The sequence below is a fragment of the Homo sapiens genome, chromosome 10 (assembly GCF_000001405.40).
Source record: "Homo sapiens chromosome 10, GRCh38.p14 Primary Assembly".
Taxonomy (NCBI): Eukaryota; Metazoa; Chordata; class Mammalia; order Primates; family Hominidae; genus Homo; species Homo sapiens.
Window position 1 is genome coordinate 36,065,049 of NC_000010.11, and position 10,649 is coordinate 36,075,697.

Genomic DNA, 10,649 nt, shown 5'->3' on the forward strand with positions numbered 1-10,649 from the left:
ACTTGCCCAAAAATGCCCGTACAGCATCCTGTTGACCAATTCAGTGACCCACTCTGGACCCCGCATCTGTGTGACCTCCACTCTGCAGTCTGAGAGATCGTGTAGAGACACTGCTCTCAGGGTGCCCCTGCCATGCTTATCCCCTGGGAGCTACTTCAATCATTACCCCTTGCCCAGAGGATGAAGTCTCACATCCTCTACAGGGGCTTGCCAGGCCGTCCTCCTCTTCCACCACCTGCCTCTTCCACCTCCTCAGTGACCACTTTTGCTATGATTTTCTCCATCTCAGCTGGGCTTCCCCTTCTCACATAGGGAGGGTCCCTTCCATCTGGGCCCTTCAACGTGTGTGCTAGGGGAGAACAGAAAGGGAAGAGAAGGATGGGAGCAAGAAAACTGAGTAAAGATTCTCAGCTAGAGGCCACACACAGTAAAATGAGCACATGAACACATCTATTCTTCCTCAGTTGACACGGATTGCCACAGAACTTACCTGCTCATTGAATAGGGTTTGACTGGGCAACTCCTACAGAAAATATTTATAATTTGGAATTTTTCTGTCTGGAACAGGGAATCTCTGCAGAAAGAGACCTTAATGACAGAAGGGAAAAATGATGACTGGGTTCCTGCTATAAATTCATGACCTGGTTTCATAAATCCTCCTCTTTATATAGGCACAGCTGTGCATTTTTATTTTCAGATCAAGCCCTCATTATCCTTTTCATTGTTTTTAAGGCATGCTAGTTCACACTACTATATACAAACCCTGAATTGTGAACTTTTCACTCACTAACCAATTCATTAAGACCTGGTCTCCTTAAAAAGTGACCATTATCAAAAAGAAGGCAAGAATTTTATTTGGAAATTGTGCAAATGGGATGATTAATTGGTTAGAAGTCAGGAATACGGAATTGGCCTTCAATTTGCATTTGCGTGGCAAGCACATCATTTCTTGTATATATTTTATGTTTATTTGGGGTGCCTTTACAGGGAGCTGAAGGAGATTACTGGGAGACCCTCCACAAACATTGCTACATTTAGCAAAGTGGCTGGACATTCCCCACCTTGTGTATCACTGCCCTGATATCACTGTGATCTGTTTTTATCATTGATGGCTGCAGCAGCCCATCTGGAGCAGCCACTGTGAGGATGCGAGCTGCAGCCTGGGCCATGCACTCCATGAAGCCAGTGGGGGCCAGGAACAGGTGGAAGCCCTGCACCCTACTGAGTTGGTGGGGCAGGAGCCCCACACTCCCATGCACAGCTCCAGCCACCCAGCCATGGTTCCAGACCCAGGCATCCTTGCACTCTCAGGGGCCTGCGAAGACTCCTGCCCTGGCAGGCTTGGAAGTGCCTGTTCCCACTCCCTGGCCTCTCCTCATTCCTGGTGCCCACTCCAGTGTGGAGCAAAGTTGTGGTCAAGCCTGGGCACTGTCATGACCTGGCTGGGTGTGCATGTGCCAAGGGCAGTGCTGACACACTAGCTGCCTGCTGCCCCAGACCCCTCTGAAACTTTGGGCACCAATGAGCTCAGGGAGGGAGGCCCAGAGGGCTGAGGATGGCTCTGCAAGGGCCTGTGGGCACTCCTTAGCATGGACAGCCTGGGCACTGCAGACAGCATGTTGATGGTGGCAGGAGGCAGACAGGTTCCTAGGTGGGAAGGGGCAGGTCCCCAGTGAATTCCCAGTTTCAAGCCAGGGATGGACTGAAGCCTGGGGGCTGGGCTGCCAGTTTCAGGTGAAGTCCATGACCCAGAGTGGGAACTTATGGTGCTTTTTCCAGCCCCAACCATGGCTACCCATGGACTAATCAGCATGCACTTCCTCCCTCCTGAGCCCATAAAAACCCTAGACTCAGCCAGACTCAGACACTCTCTGGGACGACCTGCCTGCCATAGAAGCTACCCATTTTGGGCCTCCTCTACTCTCTTTGGGACAAACTGCCTGTGGATAGGAGCTACCCACTTCAGGCCTCCTCTCTGCTGAGAGGTGTTCTGTCTCTCAATAAGGCTCTTCTTTGCCTTACTCACCCTCTAGTAGTCCCTGTAAACTCATTCTTCCTGGACATGAGACAAGAACTCGGGACCCACTGAATGGCTGGAGCGAAAGGAGGTGTAATGCTTTCCTGGCCAGCTTGCTGAGCTGTGGGTGGTGACACACTCCCAGACTGTGGGAATGAAGAGCTGTGGCCCTTCTGGGAGTGCAGACCTCTAGGCTCCCTGAGCCAGGGCTGTGACACACTGTAACACCCTCTTTGGGGATCTGTGGTTCCTGGTGTCTCTGAGCTTTTGGGTGCCACTGCATTCCCATTGTCCAGACGCTGATGCCCACAGCAGAAGCCACATGTGGTACATCTGGTTCAGCCGCAGCCTCTCACTGAGCCAGTGCCTGTGCCGGTGCCTGGAGCTGCCTGTCATACCACAGCAGCCAACATATCTGGTTGTGTGCAGTGGCCAGACCCTGTGCTTGCTCACTCATACACCTCTTGCCACTCCATGCCTGGCTTGCCCTTGGCAGGTGTGGGATCCAGGCCAGCAGCATTAGCTGAGCACAGCTGGCCGGGCTGAGTGGGTGGAATGAGCCCAGTGGGTATGAAGAGAACTCAATCAGAGGTGCCACCAGCCACAGAGGTTTCCAGCTGATGAAGGGACACCTGAAGGATCCTGTGGCATTACTTACTTGTGCAGCATTGTTCTTCCTCTTTAGGAGTGTGCTTGTCTCATATCCCTGTGTGTGCTGTCAGCAACTCCAGGGAGGGGTGGTGCCTGACACCTGCCTATCTTAGCAACTACAACTGTATTTTATATCTGATTGAATCTCAGTAACTATTTTATGGAGAAAACCGTGGTGACTTTTCAATGTGTCCACTCAGCAACAGCACTTGGTTAGTATTCCATGTGCTGGCTGGGTGTGTCAGAGTTGAAAAGAATCCCAAAGGGGGAATTTAAATCATGGTTTGTTTCTTGATTATCTCATTTTTGGCATGTAATTTTAGGTTTGAGGCCTTATTACAGAAGTCATGAGGATTAGTTTCAAATGATCATAACCACTAAGAGCCAGAGGGATCTTAGATAATTAGTCAAGTATACGGATTTGGAAATGGAGTACCTGAGAGGGGGAGCATTAATTTCGGGTCCCAAAGCTTGCTGGTGTCCAGGATGAGATGGAGAACCGAGATCTTGATAGCTTTCTTTTTGGTGCCCTTTACATGATATGGGAATCCTTTCATTTTAGTCCCAGCTGTCATTATATCTTTCCCCTGGAGACAGCTAAAAATATAATTTCAGCTTTGATTATATTTTAAAAGTATACTAATTGAAACCCAGGCCACATGGCAAAGGCTGCAGAGGGGCAGGGACTTTTATTATCAGTCTGCAAATTCAAAGAACAGGATCCCATTCATTCTAATACTCCAAGAAACACAGTCATTGGAGTCCATCTGCCTCTAAACTGTAGCGAATAAGAAAAAAATATATTTTGAGGAAATGTCCCAGCTTTAAAACTTAATTAATTTTATTATTCATAGTTTCATTATTTAAAAATTATGTGAGATTTTTAGTCTATTTGGCAATTAAGCTCTGAGATTTCTGTTTTACTTATTTGTAAACCAAAATGGTTCAATATGCCTTTCTTACCTGGGGCTTCTGACCTCAGCCTTGACATTCTCTGCAATAATATTCTCTGTATGAGAGTTGTAGACCACAACACCTGCCCAGCAAAATGTGCCTTTCTTTGGTTCTGAAATTATGTCAGTGCATTTCTTTTCAGTGTGAAAACAATTGGCAAATATGAAGCAAATTTAGAACTGAGAATTGTTCCCTCCTCAATTCTTTCAAAAGATTTTATAGAAACCTGTGAAGATGACATGAAATAGTAGTTGAATATGTTGATGTTATAACATGTGGCAAGCTTAACTTTAAAAATAAGAAATCCTCAGCACATGCATTTTGCTTTCTGCAAACTCTGCTTAACCTTAGGCTGATCTTATTTTCTATGCTTCCTGTCTGTTTTTGCTACTCTAGTCAGAGCTCTAAGTTTTAGTCTCCCTGCAGGTAATCCACTAGAGTTCTTTCTGGAAGAATCATAGAAGGGGTATAAACATTGCTTTATGTTTCTTCTTTTCTGGGTTCAGTGGTTTCTTTCATACGCTCACCTCTTTGGGGACATTCAAGTGCTGGGCTAAATTTTCACTATTATTCAAAAAGAAAGATTTTTTTAATTGATAAAAGCCTAACTAGCCTTCAACACAATGAATTTTGCTAATTAAAAAGGCTGTGATTCCTAGTCAGTGTTAACACCTGTCGAATACCAAAGAAACTTTTTAGTGTTAATTCAGGGGGTGACATATCAGTTGATTGCAGAAATATTCCCTGAGGCATAAACAAGAAGGCAAAAATTAATTATTACTTATTGGGTTTGTATTAATAATTACTCTAGTTTCCATCAGCTTCAAATGAGAATCATATTCAAAATGTTCAGAAAAGAGCCTCAGTGGCTTTGGGGCATGATCTTGTAAGAGGATGTTTCTTTTCAACATCTATTATTTTTACTCATGTTTTAAATTGTGCATATTACTTGCTTAAAGCACTGGCCTTTATATTTTCCAAGAGATAACATTCATAGGAAAAGTGAACAGGTGGTACAAATGACCTGATAACATTTTTAAGTCTGACATCTTTATGAGCATTTCATCTAGATATTTATGTATTTATTTTATTTATTTATTTATAGCTCTCCTTATTTCACAAAATATTTGCTTAATAATTATTTCATTATGTAATAGAAAAGGATGACATATGACCTATGTTTTAAGCTCAAACATTTTTAAGGAAGAAAAATCTATACCTGCTATCATGTTAGGTAAAACCCATCCAGTACTTATGAAAATAAAAAATTATTAGGCATAGCCATTGTGACGGTTTGGAACACATCTTTGAATTTTTTGCATACCACTTTCAAAATATGGAGTCCAATTCCCCTTTCCTAATGTGAACTGAACTTAGGGATTTGCTTCTAATGAATAGAAAATTGTGGAAGTGATATTGGGCCACCTCTGGGCTAGGTTAGCAAAGGTGACACAGCTCTGCCGGTCTCCTGCTCTCATGGGTAAACATGCCTAAGGAGCCCTGAGACAGTATACTAGAGGAACTGCCACCCTGAAAACACAGTGCTGGAGAGAGATTCCAGGGAGAGACATAGAGACACAGAAAGAGGTGCCCGAGGATCTCAGCTGTCCAGCCCCTGTTATTTGAATCATTTCAGCCCTGGCACCAGAGAGATGAGAGGAGAAACCTGACAATATCCCCAGCCTGAGCCATCACCAGACTCCATCCTCCTGAGTGCCCCTGAACCAGCATCACCGCTGAACACTCTGGAAGACCTACAGAAACTGAGAGAAGGTAAATGATGGTTGTTGTTTTAAGCCACCAAGTTTTGGATGATTTGTTAAGCAGCTTAGACACCTAGAAAAACTATCACTACTGAGTTGGATAATTGCAGAGGGTTTTAAAGGCCAAAGTCATGAATGCTTCTACCCTGGCAAGGTCAAGTCATCAGGAAATTGTCTTTTAAACTCAACAGATCTTCAATGCCCCTTTGCTGGGGCTAGAGAATAATCTGATACGTATCTGATAGAGCCTCTTCAAAGCCTCTGTCAACAACTGCTGGCTGGGTCTGGGTCAACCCTGGCCTGGTTTAATTTCAGTCAACTACAGCTACTCACCTTCTGTTTTAGGTCCTGGCCTGTACTGATCTTTTGATCAGTGACTCTGTGTGTGTATCTGCGTGTGTGTGTGTGTGTGTGTGTGTGTGTGTGTATCGTGTGTGTCTTTCCATTTTATCTGAAGGGGCTAAATAATAGTGCTGTGGTTGCTTTATATACCAAAATAATTCCTAGGAGGAGAATATTGGTTGTCAGTTGAGCTTTAAAACAGATGTGAGAGAACACTGAGGAAAGGAATGCATGAAACCAAAAGGCAAAAAACAAAAAACAAACAAACAACAAAAAAACCTTGCCATTTTTCCCCATTATCCACATGAATTTTAAACTAAATTAAAAATGATATTTAAAAGTCTAAAGGCCTAACTGAAGCTTTAAATTAGACTGGTGGGAATTGTCACAATTACTCACGTAACTGTGCTGTAAACTAAGATTATAATAATTTTTTAAAACCTAATCTAATTGACATTTGTCACCAAACCTTATTCTCCAGGGGCAGGCTAGTCTGTGTTATGCTGCTTAATTTACTCTAAATTAAAAACAAAATCATATCCCCTGCAAATAAAATTGTTTATAGTATGAGTAGAAACTGTTCTACTTCCTGAGTTGTGTAGAATTTCACTGCACAGTTTTGATGCCTCCTGGGGAAAGATCCACAGAGCATCAAGGCAGAAATCCTTCCTTGTCATAACCTCCCCCTATCATCAGGGAATGCACGTGTTCAGGAATTAAGAAGAAAGAGCATCCAATCCCACCTCTGTCCTGGGTTGGTTCCCATGAGCAAGCAAATGTGCTGTATTAATGCTTATTAAAAATACATACATATTTATATATATAAACATATGAATATATTGATTAAGAAAATACTATGTTCCCAAATTGCAAAACAAAAATATTATCTATTTTATTTTTCTTATTTATTTTAAATGTATTGTAGAAACAGGGCCTCCCTCTGTCACCAGGATGGAGTACAATGGCGTGATCTTAGCTCACTGCAGTCTTGAACTCTTGGGCTCAAGAGATTCTCTCACCTCAGCCTCCAAAAGTTCTGGGATGACAGGTGTGAACCAACGTGCCCAGCCTCAATTTTAGATAAAAAGGCTAATGAGTTTATTATAAACCACATATTTCGTCAACATGTTGGCAGGTTCTGCAAAGAGCTGTAAGGATGCACTGAATATTTGCCGTTGCGGATGAGGCTGCTGGAGCATTGGAGATCCATTCATCATGCCAAAGTGTAGCTCAGGGAGTCACCTCCATGGAAAATGTGTGCTTTCCAAACGTGGCTACCAGGTCGTTGTGGAATTCCATCCAGAAGCACCTTGTTCTTCCATCGCCATCATTCTGGACAAGGCAGAATCCACATTCCCCATATTACTAACTTTAAAGCAGAAATGTTACGCCTTTGCCTGTAATTGAAATTGTAGTCATTTGAAAATCAAATATTGCTAAAATTTGATGTTAGAGGGATAGATGATCAATAATTGGGTTGAAAGAATACTGTCTCTCATTAAGCAAAATGAAAATGTTTTCAGAGATTTGTGAAATGTTTTGCTATGAAGACTTTTCACTGCAAAGCACCCACTTTGTTTAAAGCAATAAGGCAACGTGCTGGATGAACGTAAAGAAGTTTTCAACACAGAACTTCACAATAAAAATGGTAAGAAATGCACACAAACCATGGAAATCAAGTGCTGTAAGAGTGTGTTTTATAAAAGTGGCTGAAGGAAATGCTTTGGACATTTCTATTAATTATAGCCAATGTTCATGGATCTGTATGCTGAGTACACACCTAGGCATTTGCATTTCATTATTTCTTTGAACTCTTTCAAAAGCCCTGAGGTCTTTATGATTATCTCCATTTCACAAATGATGATACAGAGGAACAGGGAAAGCAAGTGATTTGCTGGCTGTCATAGAGCCACGTTGGGGAGCCAAGATTTAAAACCCAGGCAATTACATTCCAGAACTGTATAGCGATTGCACATTGGATGGATGGAGTCAAGTAATTCCTTCTACTGGACGCAGTGGTGGTGAGGATGGGGAAAGGATGAAAGCAACAAAAATAAAACATAAGCAGGGAGGCTTTCCTCCAGGTAGTTTTCAGTTTTTCTTTTATATAGAGAGTAGGGGGAAATTCATCCTGCTTCTTCCTTGGAAATACAGACTCTGTGTATGAAGACATCTTTTATAATCCCAATTTAGCAACAGCCTCGAGCTGTTCTTAACTTGGGAAATGCTGTGTGGCTGACTCAAACTGACAGTGATGAACATATTTTGGCTGACACCTTACCAAAATTTGGGTTTATTTATTTCATTAATATTTTTCTTCAGGCAAAATATATTTGTCATGCCCTTTCTATTTATAACCTGGAAATGTTTCCTGTTTAGAGTCAGACTCTTTGTGACAGGCCACCAAGAAGCAGAAGACAGATGGTTTAGATGCCCCTTTAGCACAGTTTAAAGAATGCAATCTCTTTATAATGGGATGCAAGTCTGATTCGGGGTCGTGCTCCCTGTGTACACTTTGTGTTTTTTTGAATATGTCGGTTTGAGCAGAAGTTGCCTGTCTTCAAAAAGCAGGGTCCCTACTGTGTACCCCTCAGTCCAGAACGTGGCTCCTAATAGATAGGATGTGACCAAGCTGTCACATTAGATTCTTTTCCACTAATGGAGCTTCTCAAGGTCTGAGATGAAAGCTACAACCTAGCCCCAACCCAGAGGTCTGGGTTTCTGGTGTGTAGTTGTTCTGTTCTAATAACTCCCCTCATGGCCGGTCTTATTCAGAATCTTGTAAATGAGCCATGTGTTGTGATATATTTCTTCCATCAAGAAGATTCAAATACACTGCACGTCCAAAGATGAATCATGAATACACATACTTAAAAAAAATTTTTTTAGAGGGTCTCTCTCTGTCACCCAGGCTGGAGTGTGGTGGTACGATCACAGCTCATTACAGCCTCGACTTCCTGGGCGCAAACAATCCTCCCACCTCACCTCTTGAGTAGCTGGGACTATAAGTGCATGCTACCATGCCAGGCTAATCTTTTTTTGTATTTTTTTGTAGAGACAGGGTTTTTGACATGTTGTCCAGGCTGGTCTCAAACTCCTGGCCTTAGGAAATCCACCCACCTTGGCTTCCCAAAGTGCTAGGATTACAGGTGTGAGCTGAAAGTATTTCTTATTTCAAAGCAGAGCTGCTGCTTAGCAACAAGCACGGGCTTGTGCTTCTTGGTGTGAGCACGTCCAAGCAGGAGGTAGATGCTGGTGGAGATTAGGTTAAGTAAAGAAAAGCATCATCATTTTTGAGAAGGAAAATCTCTCAAGAGGAAATTCTTTAGTGACTTCTTAGGAAAAGTTTAAATCCTGATGCCTCATGTGACAAATGTCAAATGCATCTCAATTACCTGGATAAATTAGCCATAAGTATTTTGCACATCTGAAATCATTACCTCACTTTATCTTGTTTACAGGTAAATACTGACAATCACAGACCTAGAGTACTGCTTTTTCTTAAGAATGTCTTTTCCAACCCCTGGCACCAGTAGATGCCTTCCACCTTGGGACAGTCTTGAAAATTACGGCCCGGTAATTATCATCTTTAGGGATGATGTAAGACCATATTATATGGAAGATTATATGAAGATTCACAGACTACTGAAAAGACAGGTATTCAGGGGCATTTCATGGAGTTCAAGAGGAGAAGGATAAAGGATAACCATCTTCAATGTATACGTTTGGGAAGGCAGTTTTGTGGGCACATTGCTTTATACCCATAGGCACTACACTTATTTCTCTGTTGCTGAAAACAACAGAACCACAGCATTGACTGCATGGGTATTGGTGGTATTTCAGTGTCTTGGTATATCACGAACCAGATAGGAACTTGTTAAGTTTGAAGGATGAGGTTGCTGGGATTTTGTGTGTGGGAGAAGGGGATGCTTCGTTCTATGGCTTTTGAGATAGAGATGGAAAAGAAACAGTCAGGGAGGAGAATGAAGAGAGAAGAGTGAAGCCACAACAGGGGATCACGTGTAGGGGTCTCCAGAACTGAAGCCTGTGGTGAGAGGTGGAGAAGAGAAAGGCATAGTCAGGTGTCACAGCACTTAATTTCCTCATCAGCAGCTTAAAATTTGGTTTCGCACACTGGCTGAGATGGGGAGTGTCAAATTGACCTCTGCTAAACCTCTGAGGATGTGAGTGCTGTAGGGAAGAGAGCAGGTGAAATAAATTCCATATAACCAAGCAAACAGAGTAAATATCTCTCTCTCTCTCTCTCTCTCTCACTCTCTCTCACACACACACACACACACAAACACACACACACAATTCTCATTAACAAAATTATGGGGAAAAAACAACCTTTCTACCACAGTTACAAGGTCTCAAATTTGTAATCTGTAAATTCCTTTTTTTCAAAAAAGCACTAGCTTTTCTTCTGAGACCTTATTAGATGGCAGGCCGGTGCTACGTGTGTTAGGTACACATTCCTTTGTGTTCACATAAGTAACTCGTTGCATTTATGAAAGCAATGAATTAATCCTATTCTTGTAGGTCCAAGTGACCAGGCCTTCATATGGGAGAGGATCTCCTGCAGCGTCCAGAGGAGAAGGTGATTATGTCTCTCTAGGCTCATTGGACAAAATCAGTTAAATTGTGTTCCAAAAGCTGTATGGCTGCAGACACTGTGAACAGCAGGAAAGCCTTTTCACAGTTCAAGGAGCCTTGCTGCCTGAGATGAGAGCTGCCAGGGATGGCAAAGTATCAAGCATTTTTTTCTATGGCTACTTAGTATTGGATAAAAATTTGCCCACCAATCCATCTCACCCTGATGTTTCAATAAATAGCCCGTGTTTTAATAGTCACATGGGAGGGTTGTGCTTTAAAAAGTTATAGTCTATCAGATTCTGCACTCTCTTTTGTATCCAAACGCA

The 10,649-nt window shown here is 42.5% G+C and overlaps 1 long non-coding RNA gene across 1 annotated transcript in view; it reads left to right on the forward strand.

The window, feature by feature from the left end:
- LOC107984222 (uncharacterized) overlaps positions 1-7,393 on the forward strand; it is a 28,038-nt gene extending 20,645 nt beyond the window's left edge. Inside the window, exons 2-3 of the long non-coding RNA XR_001747423.2 lie at positions 5,259-5,395; positions 6,863-7,393. This is a non-coding gene — a long non-coding RNA (uncharacterized LOC107984222). The remainder of the gene's footprint in view (positions 1-5,258; positions 5,396-6,862) is intronic.
- Positions 7,394-10,649: the final 3,256 nt, after the last annotated feature.